At 42.9% G+C, this 23,843-nt stretch overlaps 1 protein-coding gene and 1 pseudogene across 7 annotated transcripts in view, besides 5 other annotated features; one reads left to right on the top strand and one right to left on the bottom strand.

The window, feature by feature from the left end:
* C10orf143 (chromosome 10 open reading frame 143) overlaps positions 1–23,843 on the top strand; it is a 75,706-nt gene that overhangs the window by 746 nt on the left and 51,117 nt on the right. For 2 of the 6 annotated variants that reach the window (XM_024448007.2, XM_024448008.2), the window contains exon 2: positions 18,771–18,929. The exons of 3 other annotated variants lie outside the window; for them this stretch is intronic. In XM_024448007.2, the coding sequence (XP_024303775.1) occupies positions 18,771–18,929 (159 nt within the window). Of the gene's footprint in view, positions 1–5,854; positions 6,003–8,873; positions 8,992–18,770; positions 18,930–23,843 lie in introns of all 6 variants that reach the window. One more of the 6 variants, NR_034125.2, reaches the window with a different exon arrangement.
* Positions 91–200: an enhancer, noted in NCBI's record as "active region_4206". NCBI's record gives its function as "activates an Ori minimal core promoter by ATAC-STARR-seq in GM12878 lymphoblastoid cells {active_cell/tissue: GM12878}" and the evidence as "EXISTENCE:reporter gene assay evidence [ECO:0000049][PMID:35858748]".
* Positions 791–1,050: an enhancer, noted in NCBI's record as "active region_4205". NCBI's record gives its function as "activates an Ori minimal core promoter by ATAC-STARR-seq in GM12878 lymphoblastoid cells {active_cell/tissue: GM12878}" and the evidence as "EXISTENCE:reporter gene assay evidence [ECO:0000049][PMID:35858748]".
* On the bottom strand, positions 1,247–4,076 carry CTAGE7P (CTAGE family member 7, pseudogene; annotated as a pseudogene). The gene has a single exon (NR_044994.1). The product of NR_044994.1 is annotated as a CTAGE family member 7, pseudogene (transcript).
* Positions 3,983–4,178: a silencer, noted in NCBI's record as "fragment chr10:131904171-131904366 (GRCh37/hg19 assembly coordinates)". NCBI's record gives its function as "represses an EF-1alpha promoter that drives an FKBP-Casp9 reporter gene in an ReSE screen in K562 erythroleukemia cells {active_cell/tissue: K562}" and the evidence as "EXISTENCE:reporter gene assay evidence [ECO:0000049][PMID:32094911]".
* Positions 3,983–4,573: a biological region, named in NCBI's record as "H3K4me1 hESC enhancer GRCh37_chr10:131903776-131904291".
* Positions 4,058–4,573: an enhancer, noted in NCBI's record as "H3K4me1 hESC enhancer chr10:131903776-131904291 (GRCh37/hg19 assembly coordinates)". NCBI's record gives its function as "activates a minimal SCP1, AML or CMV promoter by ChIP-STARR-seq in primed H9 embryonic stem cells {active_cell/tissue: H9 hESC(primed)}" and the evidence as "EXISTENCE:reporter gene assay evidence [ECO:0000049][PMID:30033119]".

Raw genomic sequence — 23,843 nt, 5'->3', positions numbered from 1 at the left:
AGGATGGGAGGTGACAAAAAACAGTGTTGGAGGAAGGAGCTTAGCGTCTTAGGGGCACTGAAAGAAGTACTGCAGGATTGGAGCTGGAAGACAGAGCTGCTTGGCATTCCTGTATTTTATCTTCCACCTCTGCTTGCAAATTGGCCAGTTCTTACTTAACCTCGTTTATTTCAAAGTTCCTCGCTAGGGGCAGCAGTGAGCAGCCAACATACCGCATATTTGCTTTTTTTTTTCTTCTAGAGCTACACAGGCTTGGTAAGTGCAGGATCCGTCTTCCCAGTTAATACAGGCAGCATTTTTTTAGATGTCTTTACTGCGTAGCGGGAATGACTAGCTTTCTACCCTGCACCATCTCTTTCCTCACTACTCACTGCCTGGCCGTGAAGCCAGTACCACTTAGGTTTCTATCACAGCCGCACCCCTCCTCCAGGTACCAATTGTTATATTACTAGGGTGCAGGTTACCCCAGTAATATAGTAATAATATGGTATAGTAATGTAGTATAGTAATAGTATAGTACAGTAATATAGCAGGTTAGGGTGCTTTTGTAACCAAGAGCCTTCAAAGCACGCTGGCCCTAACAAGATGGAAGTTTGATTCTCCTGCACAGAACAGCATGGACGTGAGCAGTCCAGTGGGGTGGAGCCCAGGGTCACTAAATATAGGCGTAGGGCTGGTGGTACCCAGATCAGGGGATATGCGGGGACCTAAGTTCCTTCCCCTCACACCATCCCCTGGGTGTCACCCTCCTCTGCATAGCCAAGGGTGGCTCACTGCTACTGTGCTACCAGATGGCAGAAAAACAAACAGAAAAGTGACATGATTATGCTGATGTGTTGAGACCTTACTTCACTGCCCTGGAAAATGAAAGGTGTGATCAGGGTGCAGGCAGGGAGGCAAGGCTTGTGGCTACAGTAGTGTGTCAGAGGAGAAGTGGCAGAGGTTTGCACAAGAGAGGGCAGTGGGGTGGTGACACTAGAGAGACGTGACTGTGTAGAGGGAGAGCAGACAGTCTCACTGATGGAGTGGCAGTGGCAGGGTAATGTGAAGAGTGGAGTCCAGGGTGTTGTAGGGGTTGACTTGAGCCCTGCGAGGGCAGTACTGCTGCTCCTTGAGAGAAGAGTGGTGTGGAGGCAATGAAGAGCTCCTGTTAGGCCATGCTGTGTTTTCTGCGACTTTGAGACGTTTAGTGGAGACGTGGCAAATACTGCTAGTGATTGAATGGTTATCATGTGGATTATCTGAATTTCTTTAATCAACTAAAATTTATTTAAGCATAAAGTTACTTTCACATTTGTCTACACCTACAGTAAATACAGTTGTTGGCATAAAGACACAGCCTTTAGAATTTAAAGCCTCCCCACCTGCAAGATTACATACGTAAAACTCCCACTGTTGTTTCTATAATAGTGGATTAATCAAATTAAAATAGTTATACTATCGAATAAAATACAATGGAAATAATTTACTTATAAGATTCATATTTAAATCATCCTTATTTACAAAATACTATCCTAAGAATTATAATTCCATTAAGTTTCAATTTGAGCAAAAGTGTAATCACTTAAGTAACAGCAGTTACTTGAAATGAGATCAGTCAGAATTACTTTTGAAGAGAGCAAAAATATTGCCAGGTATCTTGCTGCGGTTTTGGATGTTCCGTAGCAGGCTCATTTGAAGGCGGAATCAGCCCTGAAGGGAACTCACTTCTACCTTCAGAATGTGGGGGTCGGGGGAAAAATCCAGGTCTTGGGGGAGGGTAAGGAGGAAAACCCCTCGGTGGATAGACATTTCTCATTGCAAACGGAGCATGTGGTGGACCTGGGAAATCCCCTGGTGGAAAATAATCTCGAGAAGCTCCAAACCTGGTTCCTGGAGGAGGTGGGGGGAAAGGAGGTGCTCTTCTCATGAACGGGCCCCTTGTATCCACTGGAAACAGTGGACCTCTGATTAGGGCAAGAGGTGGAGGAACAAAGCGAGGGCCAGTTGCTGCATTTTCAGCAGGGAGAGATGAATCAGGGATATTTAAATTACCAAGATCATCTTTGGTGTCATTTCTACTGGATTCCATTTCTGAAGGCATTGACCCATCCATTTTATCCAAAGGAGGCATATTAAAACTTCTGAGTTCTGCTGGTCCAGACAGTCCACCAGAGTTAGAATAAAATCTGTCTTGCCTTTGTGGAGGAAGAGCTGAATCAAGATATGATTGCGCTGGTGGAGGAAACATCATCCTACGGTCCTGTTCCCTCGGAAGTGACAGGGACCCAGTGTCAGAAGGAGACCTGTGAGGATCGGTTAACCTTTCACAGCTTGATTCTCCTCTTTCCTTGGTAATCTGATGGTCCAGAGGATTCCCTGGGCCTCTTGAGCCTCTTCCTTCCCCCCCTGGAGGCAAAGGTGAGAGTCTGAGTGGACCCTCCAACAGAGTTGCGGGAGAGAGAAAAGCTCTCGTTTCAGATGAAGGCCGACCCAATGATGAGGGACCATATGGGGAATGCTCTCTGCCAAATGCTGTATTTGGAACATCAAGTACATAAGGATCTTTTTTTAGAAGTTTTATTTTATACTCTGTTTCAGCTAATTTTTGTCTGTTGTGAGCATTTTCTTTCCTTAAATCATTGAGGTTTCTTTCAGCAGCCCAAGCTGCCAACCAGTTATGATGTGCCTTTTTCTCATGGGAAATAATCTGCCGTTGATAATAATGAATAGTTCTCTCCAATTCTTCTTCAAGATCTTTGGCTCGCTGTCTGTAGGTCTCCAGCTCTTTAGTGGCATGGCTGATCTTTTTGTCTACCTTAGAAAGTTTCTCTTCTTTCTCTAACCGGCTATTTTCCTCTACTGTTAATTTCCTGTAGAGTTTCATTTCATTTTCTTGATATAATTCAGTCATTACTTTAAGTTTCTGTTGAAGCTTCTGATTCTCACTTTCAAAATGTGTGTTTTCTGACTGCAAAGATGCTTGTTCAGTCCGAAGATTTTTAATATGCTCTGTAAGCTCTTCCTTTGTTTTATCAATTTCAGGTAACTGGATATAAATTTGGTTTCTTTCTCCTTCTAAGGTTTTTAAAGAAGCATTTAACTTAGTAGCATGAATCAGTTTCTTCAGAGCTCCTTTTAGAGGATCATCTAAGTAAGCACCATCTTCTGATTCACTGTTCACTTCTAAGTTATCATCATCCGTTACGTCTTCTCTAAGCCTAGCAGCCCAATCTTTCATCTTTAGCAAATGTTCAGTCAGAGTCTTGATGTGATTTTCTTTATCATTTAGAACTTGTTCTGCATGTACTTTGGAGTCTTCAAATGTTATTTTCTGTTTATTAAGTTCATTCACTTGTTCGTTCCATACTTCAGCTTCTTGCAAAAGCTGTTTCTGGCTTTCCTGAAGGTGAGAGTTTTCATTCAAAGCATCTTTTATTGCTATCTTCAGTTGTTTCTCAGTCATTTTAAATCTCTTGAAGATCATTTTGGCTTCAGCTACTTGTGATTTGAGGGATTCTGACTCATCTGCTAGAGGCTGTATCGTTTTTGAAATATCCGCCATCAATTCATTTTGTTGCGAATGTTTAGATTTCTCTTCTTTTAACTCTTTTTCTAGACAGAGAATTTCATGCTCAAGTTCAGAATTGGACCTGTTCAACTTTTCACAGGTTGCCTCCAAACTTCGTGCTTCTGCTGCCGCCTTCTCAAAGCTGGCATCCTCTAACGATGACGCTACTTCATAGTCTTCATACTCTTTTTGAACAAGGCTAAATTTTTCAAGTAGTTTACATTTTTCTTCAATTAGTCCAGAAAGCATTATAGCAAGCTTTTTCTCTCTTCCCACATAAAGCCGACTCCTAACCGATCTAAAACTTCTCCACAGAAAAAGGAGAACAGCAAAAAATGCAGCAACAGCTGCACATATCACCATTTCCCATGGAAAACCATGAGGATTCGAATCCAGTCTCATACTTTCAGGCAGCGCTGCCACAACCCTGCGTGGCTCCCCCAGGACCAGCCCCAAGTACCGCTGAGGGGTAGCCCCTGGCTCCAACATAGCGCCAAGGCTGCTCTGGCGGTCGCCGCAGTAACCCCGGCCACAACAAGCAGCGGAGAACTCGCAGCCTTGCGTCCGGAACCCGAATCCGCACCCGGCAACCGGAGCAGACCATTGTGGAGCCGGCTGCGGGGGGGAGCTGGGGGATGCGGGCGCTCACAGGCCCACTCTGCCCACCCAGCCCCCTTGTTACACTACATCCTGAGGTAGCACATGTTGGACCCGCGCAAGCCCCACCCCTTGGTTTGGTTTTGGCCAGGCAGCCGTGGGGAGGTGGGGAGTTTTGTTTTGTTTTGTTTTGTTTGGGGGGGGAGGGGAACGGAGTCTCACTCTTGTCGCCCAGGCCGGAGTGCAGTGGCATAATCTTGGCTCACTGCAACCTCTGCCTCCTGGGTTGAAGCGATTCTCTTGCCTTAGCCTCCGGAGTAGCTAGAATTACAGGTGCCCGCCACCATGCCCAGCTAATTTTGTATTTTTAGTAGAGATGAGGTTTCACCATGTTGGCCAGACTGGTCTCGAACTCCTGACCTCAGGTGATCCGCCTGCCTCAGCCTCCCAAAGTGCTGGGATTACAGGCGTGAGACACCGTGCCCATCCTGGATTATCTGAATTTATAGCACAACACTGCTAAATTATTCCCATGATACAAAGGAGGCAGCTGAAACGCAGAGGGGGTAATTAACTGGCCTAAGGATACACAGCTAGTAAATGGTAGAACTAGGTCTTAAATCCAAGCCATCTGGCTCCAGAGCCTGCCATCTTAACCACAGGGCTGCACAGCTTCCCATGTGGCATTTGTGGAACTAAAATACAAAGCAGGCCGGGCGCAGTGGCTCATGCTTGTTATCCCAGCACTGTGGGAGGCCAAGGCAGGCTGATCACTTGAGGTCAGGAGTTCCAGATCAGCCCGGCTAACATGGTGAAACCCTGTCTCTACTAAAAATACAAACATTAGCTGGGCTTGGTGGCACACACCTGTGATCCAGCTACTTGGGAGGCTGAGACAGAAGAATTGCTTCAACTCGTGAGGCAGAGGTCGCAGTGAGCCGAGATCACACCACTGCATTCCAGCCTGGATGAAAGAGTGAGACTCTGTCTCAAATAAAAAAGTAAAAATAAAATATACCCACAAAGCTTCACAATGAAGTCCTAAATTGGCTATCATAAAATGATGAAAAGTGTGATGCTGTGGGCTGTCAGGGAAGGGGAGCCAGAGGTCATTATTGATCAGAGCGAACAGGGAAGGTTTAATGGAAGACACCCTGAATGATCTATCAGGTTGGAATTGCTGAAATGGAGTGCCAGGCTTCAGGTTGCAATACTTCTTGACTGTTACCAAAGAATAATGAGTTGGGTATCTTATTGGCATGGTGTATATTGCCTCTTAATTTGATAAAGTTTTGTTTATGTTGTATTGTGTCCTAGTCTTTGATTTAATAATCCAGATTGAGTTCAATAAAGTATCCAAGTTCTACCAAGTTTTCTGTCCTCTCTCTGCCTCTCTGTGTATTTCTCTCTCACAGGCGTCTCCAGAATTTGGTTACTGAGGAACGGTAACTAGTTTCTTACTTCTGTTCCCAGCCTAGAGGCTCTGTACTCTGCACATAACCACCAGCAAAGTTTTGGAAAACACAGCAGCCAGGACCCATCTCTGTAGTGACTTTGCAGGTGATTCTCGGGCAGGGCCAGAGTGAAGCACCTCTGCTGTGATGCGAGTGTCTTATCACTGTGCATTTCCTTGCAGTCCAGTTAGCTAGCGTGGTCACATGTGTCATAGTTCAATGACAGTAGTGTTTTATCGTTTCCATTGGGCAGACATGTTTTGAGCGCCTGCTGTGTCTCAAGCCCTGTCCTAGGCACTGGAGATGAGATGAAGAAACGATGAGTAGAGGCCTTGCTTACGTTTATCCTGCAACTCATGATGAGGCTTACTCTGCAACTCCAGTGCTCGGCTTTTTACACAGTAAGTGCCCCTGCTTACCACACCCTGGCCACACTCATGTGTTTCAGATTGAAAGTTGCCTGCCTAGAACGCCTAAAGATTCATGTCCACTTAGTCTTTCATCTTTGCTGAGACTCTTCTCCCTAAAGAACTCACTGAAGACCAGGTTTCTTGGGTAGAGCAACATTTTAGATACCTGGGCTGGAAAATCAAGTCGATAATATTTTTTTTTTCTGGTGTCATATGAGTTGATTCAAGATCCTTCTTTCTAGCTTTTTTTTTTGTTTTCTTTTTGAGACAGAATTTTGCTCTGTTGCCCAGGTTGCAGTGCAGTGGAGCGATGATGGCTCACTGCAGCCTCAATCTCCTGGGTTCAAGCGATCCTCCTGCCTCAGCCTCCTGAGTAGCTGGGACTACAGGCAAGCATCACCACGCCCAGCTAATTTTTTAAAACTTTTTTGTAGAGACGGGATCTTGCCATGTTGCCCAGGCTGGTCTCAAATTCCTGGGCTCAAGTGATCCGCCTACCTTGGACTCCCAAAATTCTGGGATTACAGGCATGAGCCACCGCACCTGGCCTCGTGTACAAGTGTGTATGTATTTATTTACTTATTGAGGCAGAGTTTCGGTCTGTCACCCAGGCTGGAGTACAGCAGTGCCATCTGGTTTCACTGCAACCTCTGCCTCCTGGGTTCAAGTGATTCTTCTGCCTCAGCATCCCAAGTAGCTGGGACTACAGGAGTGTGCCAGCTAATTTTTCTAATTTTAGTAGAGATAAAACTAAATACCCAAAGGAAAAGGCAGAGAATTAAAAAATCAAGACTCAGCTGTGCGTGGTAGCTCAACACCTGTAATCCCAGTACTTTGGGAGGCCAAGGCAGGCAGATCACTTGAGGTCAGGAGTTCAAGACCAGTCTGACCAACATGGAGAAACCCCGTCTCTACTAAAAATACAGAATTAGCTGGGCGTAGTGGCTCATGCCTGTAATCTCAGCTACTTGGGAGGCTGAGGCAGGAGGATCGCTTGAGCCCGGGAGGCAGAGGTTGCAGTGAGCCGAGATCGCACCATTGCACGCCAGCCTGGGTGGCAACAAGAGCGAAACACAATCTTTTAAAAAAAAAAAAAGACTCAATTATAAGTCCATCTATAAGAAACTCACTATAAATATAAAGATGCAATAGATAAATAAAAGGACGCAAAAAAAATCACGCTAACACTGACCAGAAGAAAGGTGGAGTTGCTATATTAATAAAAGACAAAGTCAATTTCAGGGTAAAGAATATTACCATGGATATAAAAGGTGATTTCATAGTGATTAAAAAAGTCAATTCATCAAGAGGACATAAAATTCATCAATGTTTATGCATCTAACAACAGAGCTTCAAAATACATGAAGCAAAAACTGATAGAACTGCAAGGAAAAATAGGCAAATCCACAATTATATTAGTAAGTTTCAGTATCTTCTCACAAAAATTGATAGATATATGAAGAAAATTATTAAGGATATAGAAAATGTAAACTAAACTACTGGCCAGTGCAGTGGCTCACGCCTTTAATCCCAGCACTTTGGGAGGCCGAGGTGGGCGGATCGCTTGAGGTCAGGAATTTGAGGCCAGCCTGGCTAACATGATGAAACCCCATCTCTACTAAGAATACAAAAAATTAGCTGGATGTGGTGGCAGGCGCCTATAATCCCAGCTACTCAAGAGGCTGAGGTGGGAGAACCACTGGAGGCAGAGGTTGCTGTGAGCTGAGATGGCGCCACTGCACTTCGGCTTGGGTGGCAGAGTGAGAGTGTCTCAAAAAAAAATAAAAATAATAAACGAATATCAAACCGCCTGACTTACTTGGAATTTATAGAACTCTTCACTCAAAAACAGCAGAAAACAAATTTCCCAAGACTAATTATATTTTGGGCCATAAAGGAAGGCTCAATAAACATAAGCTGGGACTTCAGGCACATGGCACCCCATCCCGGGTAATTTTTGTGTATTCTTGTAGAGACAGATTTTCACCATGTTGTCCAGGCTGGTCTCAAACTCCTGGGCTCAAGCAATCTGCCTGGCTTCAGCCTCCCAAAGTGTTGGGATCACAGGCATGAGCCACCATGCCTGGCCTCAATTTTGTTTTCTGCCTGAAGGAATTTTTTTTAAACATTTCTTATAGGACAGGTTTGCTGGTGATAATTTTTTTTTAACTTCTATATTCTGAAAAAGTTTTTTTTTTTTTTTTTTTTGGTTTTTTTTTTTTTTGAGACAGAGTCTCCCTCTGTCACCAGGCTGGAGTTGCAGAGAGCTCACTGCAATCTCTGTCTCCCGGGTTCAAGAGATTCTCCTGCCTCAGCCTCCCAAGTAGCTGGGACTACAGATGCTTGCCACCATAGCTAATTTTTGTATTTTTATAGAGATGGGATTTCACCATGTTGGCCAGGATGGTCTCAATCTCCTGACCTCATGATGCGCCCGCCTCCACCTCCCAAAGTGCTGGGATTACAGGTATGAGCAACCATGCCCGGTCAAAAAAATCTTAATTTTATCCTTATTTTGAAAGATATTTCCACTGTGTGTGGAATTCTAAATTGATAGGTTTTTTTCTTTCAGTAATATAAAAATGTTGCTCCACTGTCTTGACACAGTTGCTTCCAATGAAAGAGCTGCAGCCACCCTCTCTCTGCTCCTCAGTGTTGAACGTGTCTCTTGTCTCTGGCTGCCTTTAAGGTTGCCCTTGACCTGTGGCTTTGAACTGCTCATCACGTGCTCTCATATAGTTTTCTTCATGGTTCTGTGCTTGGGTTACTGAGATTCTTGGATCTCTGGGTTTATAGTTTTCATCAAATTTGGTATACTTTCAGCCTAGATAAATAGATAGATTTTTTTTTTTTTTTCCCCAGACAGAGTCTCTGTTGCCCAGGCTGGAGTACAGTCGCACGATCTTGGCTCACTGCAACCTCTGCCTCTCAGGTTCGAGTGATTCTTCTGCCTCAGCCTCCCAAGTTGCTGGGATTACAGGTGCGCTCCACCACACCCCGCTAATTTTTTGTATTTTTAGTCGCCACGGGGTTTCACCATGTTGGCCAGGATGGTCTTGAACTTCTGACCTCAGGTGATCCACCCACCTCAGCCTCCCAAAATGCTGGGATTATAGATGTAAGCCACCATGCCCGGCCTCAGCTATTATAGCTTTCAACATTTTTTCTGTCCCTTTTCTCCCCTCTCCTTCTACAACTCCCACTACACATCTATTAAGCTTCTTGATAGTTGTCCCACAGTTCCCTGATGCTATGTCTACTTTTAAAAATCTCTTTTCTGTGTTTGATTTTTGATTGTTTCTACTGCTGTGCCTTCAAGTTCATGAATCTTTTTTTCTGCAATGTCTAGCCGTCCACTAATTACATCCAGTGCATTTTTAATCCCAGACATTATAGCATTTGATTTGGATCTCATAACATTTGATTTTTATCTTTTAAAAAATATCTTCCGTGTTTTGTTTAATATTTTGTACATATACAGTTATATTAACTCTTTTAATGTTCTTCTCTGCTAAATTTAACATCTGTGTCTGTTCTTTGGCAGTTTTTGTTTTTGAGACAGAGTCTCCCTCTCTTGCCCAGGCTGGAGTGCAGTAGCTCACTGCAACCTTCGCCTCCCAGGTTCAAGCAATTCTCGTGCCTCAGCCTCCCGAGTAGCTGGGACTACAGGCACGCACCACCACGCCTGGCTAATTTTTGTATTTTTAGTAGACATGGGATTTCATCATGTTGGCCAGGCTGGTCTTGAACACCTGACCTCGTCACCCACCTGCCTCAGCCTCCCAAAGTGCTGGAATTACATGCGTGAGCCACTGTGCCTCGCCCTGTTTTGTCCATTTTTGGTCAGTTCATGCAGGAGAGTAAATCTTGTTGGTCCAGATTGGCCCAAAGAGGAAGTTGGATAATACAGTTTGGGTCAGAGTTTAAAAGAAAATGAAGCCCGGGCGCGGTGGCTCACACCTGTAATCCCAGCACTTTGGGAGGCTGTGTTGGGTGGATCACAAGGTCAGGAGTTCGAGACTAGCCTGGCCAACATGGTGAAACCCCGTCTCTACTAAAAATACAAAAATTAGCCGGGTGTGGTGGCGCGTGCCTGTAATCCCAGCTACTCAAGAGCCTGCGGTGGGAGAATCGCTTGAACCTGGGAGGCGGAGGTTGCAGTGAGCCAAGATCACGTCACTGCACTCCAGCCTGGGTGACAGTGAGAGTCCATCTTAAAAAAAAAAAAATAAAGAAAAAATAAAAAAAATTTAGGTTGAGCGTGGTGGCTGTAATCCTTGCACTTCGGGAGGCTGAGGCGGACGGATCACTTGAGGTCAGGAGTTCAAGACCAACCTGGGCAACATGGTGAAACCCCGTCTCCACCAAAAAATACAAAAATGGTGTCACACGGCTGTAGTCCCCAGCTATGCAGGAGGCTGAGGCAGGAGAATCACTTAAACCCACGAGGCAGAGGTTGCACTGAGCCGAGATCATGCCTCTGCACTCTAGCCTGGGCGACAGAGTGAGACTGTGTCTCAAAATAAATAAATAAATAAATAAATAAATAAATAAATAAATAAAAATAAAAGAAGAAGATTCAGAGTTAAATATCTTTGTTTTACCCCATTGGTTGCAGATTTTATAGCTCATCTGCTGAGTAAGATCTTTGCCGTGAGAACCTAGTAAATAACCAGCTGATGATGCAGCCCCTGACAGAAGCCCTCATTTTGCCTTCTGTGGTCACTCTTCTCCTTCTCAATAATTATCACCCATTCCTCAAGAAGCAAGCTATTTAATTCTCTCACCCATTTTGTATTTTGGAAACAATCTGTTGAGCTATATTATACTATCTGTTATACTCAGTTTAATGAGATTCCACTATCCTCCCATGTAGATATAGGAAATTGATCAATGATAATTCATCTTTGGTTACAACCCTAATACAGGTGTTCACCCTGCCAGTTATGCCTACACTCAATCATTTCTTTTTTCTTTTTTTTTTTTGAGATGGTGTCTCACTCTTTTGCCCAAGCTGGAGTGAAGTGGCATGATCTTGGCTCACTGCAACCTCCGCCCCCTGGGTTCAAGTGATTCTCCTGCCTCAGCCTCCCTAGTAGCTGAGATTTTACAGGCGTGCACTACTACGCCTGGCTAATTTTTGTATTTTTAGTAGAGATGGGGTTTCTCCATGTTGGCCAGGCTGGTCTTGAACTCCTGATCTCAGTGATCCACCCACCTCGGCCTCCCAAAGTGCTAGGATTACAGGCATGAGCCACCGCGCCCAGCCAATCATTTCTGATTTTTGGCAGGTTTCTTTATATATGACACAGAAAGTCACAATGAGGTTAGGATCGGCAAGGAGGCCATTTTCTGTGGTTAGCCACCTCTTCAGGTGTCTGTTGTGTCCAGCACTGACCCTGGAAGGACTCTGCCTTGGCTTCTGGTTCTTTAATTACCAAGTGCCCAGAACTGAGTGGGGCACATAGTAGGTATTCAGGAAAGGCTTTTTGGTTGACTGACACGTGAGGGTGTGTGTGTGTTTAACTGAGAATTGGTGAAAGGAGGATTAAGCAAATGCATAAAATTGTTGGTATTTTCAAAACATCTTTGTTTAGGGAAAATTATAATTCATTTGGGGAAAACGCCATCAGCGTGCCACATGGTCACCCTTCATTATCATCACATAGCTACTATCTTTTTAGATTTCTCTCTTGGCAGTTACCAAGACCGTGTTATTTAGGTTTAGAGTTTTTTTTGTTTTTGTTTTTTGAGACAGAGCTTCCCTCTATCATCCAGGCCTGAGTGCAGTGGTGTGATCTCAGCTCACTGCAACCTCCGCCTCCTGGGCTCAAGTGATTCTCATGTCTCAGCCTCCAGAGTAGCTGGGATTACAGGCACGTGCCACCATGCCCAGCTGATTTTTGTATTTTTAGTAGAGACAGGGTTTCCCTATGTTGGCCAGGCTTGTCTCGAACTCCTGGCCTCAAGTGATCCTCCTGCCTGGGCCTCCCAGAGTGTTGGGATTACAGGTGTGAGCCACCATGCCTGGCCAGGTTTAGAGTTTTTTTTTTTTTAAGTGTGTAATTAAGTGGTTTTTAGTAAATTTACAGCTGTGCAACTATCACCACCCAGTTTTCATTCTCTTCACTTCAGAAAAATCTCTGGCCATTGGTAGTCACTCTGTTCACACCCCTAGCTCCAGGCAACCACTGACTGACTTTCTCTCTCTGGATTTGCCTTTTCTGGAACTTTCTTGTAAAGGGAGTCATACCTGATAGGGTCTCCTGCAGCTGGCTTCTTTCAGTTTGCATCATGTTTTCAAGGTTCATCCAGATAAAGCATAGATCAGTAGTGTGCTCCTTTTTATGGCTGTATAATATTCCATTGTGTGAATAGAACACGTTCTGTTTATCCATTCATTTTGGTTATGAATAGTGCAGAAAATTCTGAAAATTCACATAGGTACCGATCATTGTGTGAACATATCTCTTAGATGGATACTTAGGGCTGGAATTGCTGGTTTCTATGGTAAATTTATTTTTAACTTTCTAAGAAACTGCCAAAATATTTTCCAAAGTGGCTACACCATTTTACATGCCCACCACCAACATATGAGGGATCCATTTTGTCCACATCTTCATATATAGTCATTCTAGTAGATACGGAGCAGTATCTCACTGCAGTTTTTATTTTTACTTTTTTTGTAGAGGTACAGTCTTGCTATGTTGCCCAGGCTGGTCTCAAACCCTGGCCTCAAATGATCTTCCCAAGTCAGCCTCCCAAAATGCTGGGATTACAGGCATGAGCGCCCATGCCTGGCCATCACTGTAGTATTGATGTTGAGCATCTTTTCATATACTTACTGACCTTTCATATATCTTCATTGGGGAAATTACTCTTCACATCTTTTGCCCCTTTAAAAAATTGTGTTGTCTTTTTGTCAAGTTGAGTTTTTAATATATTCTGGGCTGGGTGCAGTGGCTTATGCCTGTAATTCCAGCATTTTGGGAGGCTGAGGCAGGAGAATCGCTTGAACCCAGGAGGTAGAGGTTACAGTGAGCTGAGATCACGCCACTGCACTCCAGCCTGGGTGACAGAGCGAGACTCTGTCTCAAAAAAAAAAAAATTAAAAAATTAAATTTTATATATATATATTTTCTGGATACTTGTATCATATATATGATTTGTAAACATTTCTTCTCCACGAATGTGGCTTGTCTTTTCGTTTTCTTTTTTTTTTTAATATATTTTAAGTTTTGGGATACATGTGCAGAATGTACAGGTTTGTTACATAGGTATACACGTGCCATGGTGGTTTGCTGCACCCATCAACCCATCATCTATATTAGGTATTACTTCTAATGCTATCTGTGCCCTAGCCCCCTGCCCCCTGAAAAGCCCCAGTGTGTGGGTGTGTGATGTTCCCCTCCCTGTGTCCATGTGTTCTCATTGTTCAACTTCCACTTATGAGTGAGAACATGTGGTGTTTGGTTTTCTGTTCCTGTGTTAGTTTGCCAAGAATTTATCCAGTCTGTCATTGATGGGCATTTGGGTTGGTTCCAAGTCTTTGCTATTGTGAATAGTGCTGCAATAAACATACATGTGCATGTGTCTTTAAAGTAGAATGATTTATAATCTTTTGGGTTTATACCTAGTAATGGGATTGCTGGGTTAAATGGTATTTCTGGTTCTAGATCCTTGAGGAATTGCCACACTGTCTTCCACAATGGGTGAACTAATTTACACTCCCACCAACAGTGTAAAAACGTTCCTATTTCTCCACATCCTCTCCAGCATCTGTTGTTTCCTGACTTTTTAATGATCACCGTTCTAACTGGCGTGAGATGGTATCTCATTGTGGTTTGGTTTGCATCTCTCTAATGACCAGTGATGATGAGCATTTTTTCATGTTCGTTGGCCTCATAAATGTCTTCTTTTCAGAGGTGTCTGTTCATGTCCTTTACCCACTTTCTGATGGGGTTGTTTATTTTTTTCTTGTAAATTTGTTTAAGTTCCTTGTAGATTCTGGATATTAGCCCTTCATCAGATGGAGAGATTGCAAAAATTTTCTCCCATTCTGTAGGTTGCCTGTTCACTCTGATGATAGTTTCTTTTGCTGTGCAGAAGCTCCTTAGTTTAATTAGATCCCATTCATCAATTTTGGCTTTTGTTGTCATTGCTTTTGGTGTTTTAGTCATGAAGTCTTTGTCCATGCCTGTGTCCTGAATGGTATTGCCTAGGTTTTCTTCTAGGGTTTTTATGATTTTAGGTCCTATGTTTAAGTCTTTAATCCATCTTGAGTTAATTTTTGTATAAGGTGTAAGGAAGGGGTCCAGTTTCAGTTTTCTGCATATGGCTTAGCCAGTCTTCCCAACACTATTTATTAAATAGAGAGTCCTTTCCCCATTGTTTGTTTTTGTCAGCTTTGTCAAAGATCAGAAGGTTGTAGATGTGTGGCGTTATTTCTGAGGCCCCTGTTCTGTTCCATTGGTCTGTATGTCTGTTTTGGTACCAGTACCATGCTGTTTTGTTTACTGTAGCCTTTAGTATAGTTTAAAGTCAGGCAGCGTGATGCCTCCAGCTTTGTTCTTTTTGCTTAGGATTGTCTTGGCTATGCGGGCTCTTTTTTGGTTCCATATGAAATTTAAAGTAGTTTTTTCTAATTCTATGAAGAAAGTCAGTGGTAGCTTGATGGTGATAGCTTTGAATCTATAAATTACTTTGGGCAGTATGGCCATTTTCCCGATATTGATTATTCCTTTCCATGAGCATGGAATGTTTTTCCATTTGTTTGTGTCCTCTTTTATTTCCTTGAGCAGTGGTTTGTAGTTCTCCTTGAAGAGGTCCTTCACATCCCTTGTAAGTTGGATTCCTAGGTATTTTATTCTCTTTGTAGCAATTGTGAAGAGGTCCTTCACATCCCTTGTAAGTTGGATTCCTAGGTATTTTATTCTCTTTGTAGCAATTGTGAATGGGAGTTCACTCATGATTTGGCCCTCTGTTTGTCTATTATTGGTGTATAGGAATGTTTTTGAGTTTTGCACATTGATTTTGTATCCTGAGACTTTGCTGAAGTTGCTTATCAGCTTAAGGAGATTTTTTGCTGAGACAATGGGGTTTCCTAAATATACAATCATGTCATCTGCAAGCAGAGACAACTTGACTTCCTCTCTTCCTATTTGAATACCTTTATTTCTTTCTTTTGCCTGATTGCCCTGGCCAGAACTTCCAATACTATGTTGAATAGGAGTGGTGAGGGAGGGGATCCTTGTCTTGTGCTGGTTTTCAAAGGGAATGCTTCCAGCTTTTGCCCATTCAGTATGACATTGGCTGTGGGTTTGTCATAAATAGCTCTTATTATTTTGAAATACATTCCATCAGTACCTAGTTTATTGAGAGTTTTTAGCATGAAGGGCTGGTGAATTTTATCAGAGGCCCTTTCTGCATCTATTGAGACAATCATGTGGTTTTTGTCATTGGTTCTGCTTATGTCATGGATTACATTTATTGATTTGTGTATGTTGAACCAGCCTTGCATCCCAGGGATGAAGCCAACTTGATTGTGGTGGATAAGCTTTTTGATGTGCTGCTGGAATCAGTTTGCCAGTATTTTATTGAGGATTTTCACATCAATGTTCATCAGGGATATTGACCTGAAATTTTCTTTTTTTGTTGTGTCTCTGCCAGATTTTGGTATCAGAATGATGCTGGCCTCATAAAATGAGTTAGAGAGGAGTCCCTCTTTTTCTGTTGTTTGGAATAGTTTCAGAAGGAATGGTACCAGCTCCTCTTTGTACCTCTGGTAGAATTTGCCTGTGAATCTGTCTGATCCTGGGCTTTTTTTGGTTGGTAGGCTATTAATTACTGCCTTAATTTCAGAACTTGTTATTGGTCTATTCAGGGATTTGACTTCTTCCTGGTTTAGTTTCGGGAGGGTATATGTATCCAGGAATGTATCCATTTCTTCTAGATTTTTGAGTTTATTTGTGTAGAGCCGTTTATAGTATTCTCTGATGGTAGTTTGTATTTCTGTGGGATCAGTGGTGATATCCACTTTATAATTTTTTTTTTTTTTTAATGGTGAGATGGAGTCTCGCTCTGTTGCCCAGGCTGGAGTACAGTGGCACGATCTTGGCTTACTGCAAGCTCCGCCTCCCGGGTTCATGCCATTCTCCTGCCTCAGCCTCCTGAGTAGCTGGGACTACAGGTGCCCGCCACTACACTTGGTTAACTTTTTATATTTTTAGTAGAGATGGGGTTTCACCTGTGTTAGCCAGGACGATCTCAATCTGACCTCGTGATCCGCCCGCCTCGGCCTCCCAAAGTGCTGGGATTACAGGTGTGAGCCACCGCGCCTGGCCCCCTTTATCATTTTTTATTGTGTCTGTTTGGTTCTTCTCTCTTTTATTCTTTATCAGTCTGGCTAGTGGCCTATGTATTTTGTTAATCTTTTCAAAAAATCAGCTCCTGGATTCATTGATTTTTTTGAAGGGTTTTTTTGTATCTCTATCTCCTTCAGTTCTGCTCTGATCTTAGTTATTTCTTGTCTTCTGCTAGCTTCTGAATGTGTTTGCTCTTGCTTCTCTAGTTCTTTTAATTGTGATGGTAGGATGTCAATTTTTGATCTTTCCCACTTTCTCCTGTGGCATTTAGTGCTATAACTTTCCCTCTAAACACTGCTTTAGCTGTGTCTCAGAGATTCTGGTACATTGTGTCTTTGTTCTCATTGATTTCAAAGAACTTATTTATTTCTGCCTTAATTTCGTTATTTACCTATTAGTCATTCAGGACCAGGTTGTTCAGTTTCCATGTAGTTGTGCGGTTTTGAGTGAATTTCTTAATCCTGAATTCTAATTTGATTGCACTGTGGTCTGAGAGACTGTTTTGATTTCCGTTCTTTTGCGTTTGCTGAGGAATGTTTTACTTCCAATTATGTGGTCAATTTTAGAATAAGTGCAATGTGGTGCTGAGAAGAATGTGTATTCTGCTGATTTGGGGTAGAGAGTTCTATAGATGTCTATTAGGTCTGCTTAGTCGAGAGCTGAGTTCAAATCCTGAATATCTTTGTTAATTTTCTGTCTCGTTGATCTATCTAATATTGACAATGGGGTGTTACAATCTCCCACTATTATTGTGTGGGAGTCTAAATCTCTTTGTAGGTCTCTTAGAACTTGCTTTATGAATCTGGGTGCTCCTCTATTGGGTGCATATATACTTAGGATAGTTAGCTCTTCTTGTTGCATTCATCCCTTTACCATTATGTAATGCCCTTCTTTGTCTTTTTTTTGATCTTCATTGGTTTAAAGTCTGTTTTATCAGAGACTAGGATTGTAACCCTGCTTTTTTTGCTTTCCGTTTGCTTGGTAAATATTCCTCCATCCCTTTATTTTGAGCCTATGTGTGTCTTTGCAGGTGAGATGGGTCTCCTGAATACAGCACACCGATGGGTCTTGACTCTTTATCCAGTTTTCCAGGCTGTGTCTTTTAATTGGGGGCATTTATCCCATTTATGTTTAAGGTTAATATTGTTATGTGTGAATTTGATTCTGTCATTATGATGCTAGCTAGTTATTTTGCCCGTTAATTGATGCAGTTTCTTCATACTGTCGATGGTCTTTACAATTTGGTATGTTTTTGCAGTGGCTGGTACCAGTTTTTCCTTTCCATATTTAATGCTTCCCTCAGGAGCTTTTGTAAGGTAGGCCTGGTGGTGACAAAATCTCTCAGCATTTGCTTGTCTGTAAAGGATTTTATTTATGTTTCACTTAATGAAGCTTAGTTTGGCTGAATATGAAATTCTGGGTTGAAAATTCTTTTCTTTAAGAATGTTGAATATTGGCCCCCACTCTCTTCTGGCTTGTAGGGTTTCTGCTGAGAGATCTGCTGTTAGTCTGATAGGCTTCCCTTTGTGGGTAACCCAACCTTTCTCTCTGGCTGCCCTTAACATTTTTTTCTTCATTTCAATCTTAGTGAATCTGACGATTATGTATCTTGGGGTTGCTCTTCTCAAGGAGTATCTTTGTGGTGTTCTCTGTATTTCTTGAATTTGAAAGTTGTCCTGTCTTGCTAGGTTGGGTAAGTTTTTCTGGATAATATCCTGAAGAGGGTTTCCAAGTTGGTTCCATTCTCCCTGTCACTTTCAGGTACACTAGTCAAATGTAGGTTTGGTCTTTTCACATGGTCCCATATTTCTTGGAGGCTTGGTTCATTCCTTTTCATTCTTTTTTCTTAATCTTATCTTCATGCTTTATTTCATTAAGTTGATCTTCAATCTCTGATATCCTTTCTTTGGCTTGGTCGATTTGGCTGTTGATACTTGTGTATGCTTCATGAAGTTCTCGTGCTGTGTTTTTCAGCTCCATCAGGTCATTTATGTTATTGTCTAAACTGGTTATTCTAGTTAGCAATTCATCTAACTTTTTTCAAGGTTCTTAGCTTCCTTACATTGGGTTAAAACATGCTCCTTTAGCTCAGAGAAATTTGTTATTACCCATCTTCTGAAGCCTACTTCTGTTGACTCATCAAACTCATTCTCTCTCCAGTTTTGTTCTCTTGCTGGCGAGGAGTTGTATTCCTTTGGAGGAGAAGAGGCATTCTGGTTTTTGGAATTTTCAGCCTTTTTGTGCTGGTTTTTCCTCATCTTCATGGATTTATCTACCTTTGGTCTTTGATGTTGGTGACCTTTGGATGGGGGTTCTGTGTGGATGTCCTTTTTGTTGATGTTGATGCTTTCTGTTTGTTAGTTTTCCTTCTAAGAGTCATGCTCCTTTGCTGCAGGTATGCTGGAGTTTGCTGGAGGTCCACTCCAGACCCTGTTTGTCTGGGTATCACCAGCAGAGGCTGCAGAACACCAAAGATTGCTGCCTGTTCCTTCTTCTGGAAGCTTCGTCCCAGAGGGGCACCTGCCAGATGCCAGCTGGAGCTCTCCTCTATGAGGTGTCAGTCAACCCCTGCTGGGAGGTATCTCTCAGTCAGGAGGCACAGGGGCCAGGGACCCACTTGAGGAGGCAGTCTGTCCCTTAGCAGAGCTTGAGTGCTGTGCTAGGAGATCCCGCTTCTCTCTTCAGAGCTGGTAGGCAGGAACGTTTAAGTCTGCTGAAGCTGTGCCCACAGTTGCCCCTTCTCCTAGATGCTCTGCCCCAGGGAGATGGGAATTTTATCTATAAGCCCCTGACTGGCGCTGCTGCCTTTCTTTTAGAGATGCCCTGACCAGAGTGGAGGAATCTAGAGAGGCAGTCTGGCTACAGTGGCTTTGTCAAACTGTGGTGGGCTCCACCCAGTTCGAACTTCCTGGAGGCTTTGTTTACACTGTGAGGGGAAAACCGCCTACTCAAGCCTTGGTAATGGCAGATGCCCCGCCCGCCCCCCACCAAGCTCAAGCATCCCAGGTTGACTTCATACTGCTGTGCTGGCAGTGAGAATTTCAAGCCAGTGGATCTTAGCTTGCTGGGCTCCTTGGGGGTGGGATCCACTGAGCTAGACCACTTGGCTCCCTGGCTTCAGCCCCCTTTCCAGGGGAGTGAATGGTTCTGTCTCACTGGTGTTCCAGGTGCCACTGGGGTATGAAAAAAAACTCCTGCAGTTAGCTTGGTGTCTGCCCAAATGGCCGCCCAGTTTTGTGCTTGAAACCCAGGGCCCTGGTGGTGTAGGCACCCGAGGGAATCTCCTGGTCTGTGGGTTGCGAAGACCATGGGAAAAGCATAGTTTCTGGGCTGGAGTGCACCGTTCCTCATGGCACACTCCCTCACGGCTTCCCTTGGCTGGGGAGGGAGTTCCGTGACCCCTTGTGCTTCCCGGGTTAGGCGATGCCCCACCCTGCTTCAGTTGTCCCTCCATGGGCTGCACCCACTGTATAACTAGTCCCAATGAGATGAGCTAGGTACTTCAGTTGTAAATGCAGAAATCACCCGCCTTCTGCATTGATCTTGCTGGGAGCTGCAGACTGGAGCTGTTCCTATTTGGCCATCTTGCCAGCTTCCACTTTCTTAATGGTGTTGTTTGAAGCCCCAAACCTTTGAATATTGATGAAATCCAAATTTTCAACTTGTTTCTTTTAGGGATCATTCTTTTGGTGTTGTATCTGAGAAATATTTGCCTATTCCAAGATCATAAGGATTTTTTTTCCCTATGTTCTCCTTTAAAAATTTTACACTTTTAGTTCTTACATTTAGGCTTCTGATCCATTTCAAGTTAATTTTTGTGCATGATATATGTCAAGAGGCCAACTTTATCTTTTTACATGTGGATATTGAATCGTGTCAGCACCATGTCTTCTAAAGACTGTTCTTTCTCCATTGAATTTTCTTGGCACCCTTGTCAAAGATCATTTGACCATAAATATAAGGGTTCATTTCTGGACTCTCAGTTCTGTGCCATTGACCTGTATGTTCATCCTTATGCCAATACCATATTGATTACTGGAGCTGTATATTAAGTTTCTATTATATTAAGTTTTGAAGTCTTTTTTATACATTGTTTAGTTTCTAGTGCTTCTTTAGTTGTATTTTTCAGTCTTATTTCTCCACTTAGCCTGAAAGCAGACTCAAGACCCAGCTGACCCAGCTCAGTCATTTCATATCACCAGACTTCAGGCAAGTTGGCTAAGGTTTTTTTTTACTTCTTTTTCCTCATCTATAAAATAGAAATAAAACTCCATATCCCTCCATTGTCACAGGATTATTGTGAGGATCAAATGAAATAACAAATGTGGAAACATCTAAACTAGTTTTCTATAAATGCAGAGGACATTTATTAGGCTCTGCCTGTTGCAAGTAAATGTGCATAACTGCTTTCCTTAAGATCCTTAATTTATTCAGGACTATAACTTAGGTTTACAGTGTGCTTGGTAAACCTTGCAAGCCTAAAATTAATCCTCAACAAGTCCAATGTGTTCATTTATGTCTTTTTCAGAATCAAAGTAGAAGAGTGGTTTTTCCTTAATCTTCTCCATTATCTCAAGATAACTCACTCCCCTAGAATTCAGTTGCCCTCTTACTTTGAGTGTTGGCTTGCTCATATCAGAACTTGCCTTCTCTTCGCCAAGCTAGACTTGGTCAAGAGTGTGGACTGAAAGCTCGAGCATAGTAGGCTGAGGAGTCTTTTTTAAAAAAGGTCACAGTATCAAGATGTTAAGATCCTGTTGGTAAAGCCCCAGTGTGCCCTGGTAATGCAGGAGTTCAGTGTGAGAATCCTAACTTCTGGCCCTCCTTAGTTGATGCAGTACCAAATGTCATAGAAAGAAACCTCCTAAGAGTACAAGGTCATTCTCCAAATGAAAATGTCATAGGAAAGGAATCTTTACTTGATGGAAAGAATGCTTTCTTTCTAAATGGCAATCTGTGGCGCCTTCTCAATCTTGTTCCATCCAGCATTACCTGTTCTGTGTTCAGACCAATGGGCATCCGTATCAGCTGCTCCATCCTGCAGAAGTAACTTTATCATGGTAGGACTTGAACTAAACTGAACCAAAGAAACCTCCCTCAGCTGACTGTTCCTGGTACCTAAGGACTGAATTACCCAGCATTATACACTTACACTACAAATGATCTTCGGCATAAGGGCCATTAGTCAATAAAAATTCTCAAAATACCTTCAAAATGAAAGATTAGATTATTTTATATAAAATATATTTTCTTGTGGACTTATTAATTGCATTACTGATTTCTAATGATTTCCTTTGGTATTTTATTTATATAATTTATTTTTTTGAAATGGAGTTTCGCTCTTGTTGCTGAGGCTGGAGTGCAATGGCGCGATCCTGGCTCACTACAACCTCTGCCTCCCGGGTTCAAGTGATTCTCCTTCCTTAGCCTCCTGAGTAGCTGGAATTATAGGCACGTGCCACCACGCCTGGCTAATTTTTTGTATGTTTAGTAGAGACGGAATTTCACCATGTTGGCCAGGCTGGTCTCGAACTCCTGATCTCAGGTGATCCACCCGCCTTGACCTCCCAAAGTGCTGGGATTACAGGAGTGAGCCACTGCACCTGGCTAGCTCCTTTGGTATGTTAATTTGCTGTATATTTGCTTAACTCATATGCTCGCTCACGTGTTAACACATGTAATACATATGCTTAATTCAGTGTGTTTGATGTTGAAGAGTGTGCCATTTTCTTGCTTTGCTGACTGAAGAGAGTATGTGGTGCTTTTCTGTTGAAGAGGTCAGAGAACCATGCCTCTTCTCTATTCTCCACCCTCCTCTTGAGCCCAGAGCGGAGGCTGCCAGCATGGCAGAGCCCCACCGGTGGCAGAGCTGGCGCTGGGCTCTGCTCACCCTGCTCCGTGTTCTCTGGCTCTGCTGTGTGTTTCTAGGGGCTTTGGGGAGATGTCCCCTGTCTGGTTCATATAAGGGCTGGCTCTTCTCAGCACAGAAACCAAAGCTTTGAATCTCATCTCTGGCAAACTGTTAGGTCTTCAACCCCCTATCCCTTATAGACACTTCACTCATTAAGCTCACTTGGGACCATCACCTCCGGAAAAGGAAGAAGTCCCCCTCAACAAATGGTTGGTCTTGCCTCCTCAGGACAGGCAGCAAGACTTCCTGAGATCTGTGGCAGCTTCGTGTGTTTCTATCATTGAGGCAGCACCATCCCTGTTTGCTATTTTAATTTAGCATCGTTTGAAACAGCGTCTATTTCTCGGCCACGCTCCTGCTTCACCTTTCTCTGATGAGGATGCTGGTCACTTGATCTATTCTAGTTATTGTTATGTAATGGGGTCCTTGTGTATACTTAGGATTTTCATTTCGTTCATATAGTACAAGTGTCTTTTTAGCTTGGCATAAGCCTTCATCTGCCTTTGCGAAGGCTGACAGATCTTCTCGTTCAACGTAAGCAGCCCCAGATGTAAATGCCTCTGTGGCAGTCATTTTTCTTTGGTCCAGGCCCATCCATGACAACTGAACTATTTCCCAAGTAAGTGTATAGATCAGTATCGTATGTGGTCAGCTCTCAATAATCCACAGTAAGTAACAGAAAATATGAATAAATTAATTCACTGTGCTGGCTGAGTGCCACTGAGATGTCATCCTCACATTCCCTACTAGAACCCACACTCTGCTCGCCTTGGTGGCAGAGTATGGCTTGGCTCTCCTTTCTCCTACTACAGGCTGTCGGGACCCTGGCCCTTCAGCCCCCTGCGCCCCTTGAAGAATGTCAGCTTTTCATTGCAGATAATCACAAGTCTGCTGACCTTAATGTGCCAAGGGCCATTCAACCACACAGAAAAGGTGTAGAATATAGTTTCATAAGTGTTGTAAATTTCATCCAGAAAGTACAGGTTCTCATTCATATTCATGCATGCCTGTTTGCTTTCCTTTTGAGTAAGTCCTGTGTTATTGAGAAAAGAGGAAGGGAAATAATATTATTGCTATTAGCCGACTATGGTGTTACTGATGGGGGAAAATTGAAACTTGTAAAATTATGTGGGGAATACTTAATATTTCCACTTTTCCCCTTTAATCCAGGTGATTGAAAGTTGACAGCAAACCAGTTTTAACATAACACACCTCCTTTTGCACTGTAAGGATTGAGCAGATCCTGAATAACCAGAGATTGAAAGCCTTGGTCTTAGTTCTTCAAACTGTCATCCAACTTAGGTGAAGACATAGAAGGCTGCATTATTTGCAAAAGTCCTAAGGATGATTAATACGATTACTGTAATATATGGCAGAATAAGGATTGAATATATTTTGATATGCTACAAATCAAATACATATTCCATGGAAATCAGATTTAACTAGTGTACATAGGAGAGCCTACAGTTAAATTAAAAGAAGAAAAAGAGGAAGACAAAGACGACTTAATAAGCCCCAGGAATGAGAGAGTACGTTTGTGTGGAGAAGCTGAGGGGG

The sequence above is a fragment of the Homo sapiens genome, chromosome 10, assembly GCF_000001405.40.
Source record: "Homo sapiens chromosome 10, GRCh38.p14 Primary Assembly".
Taxonomy (NCBI): domain Eukaryota; kingdom Metazoa; phylum Chordata; class Mammalia; order Primates; family Hominidae; genus Homo; species Homo sapiens.
The sequence above is the reverse complement of the archived record's forward strand: the minus strand, read 5'-3'. Positions and strand labels throughout refer to the sequence as shown.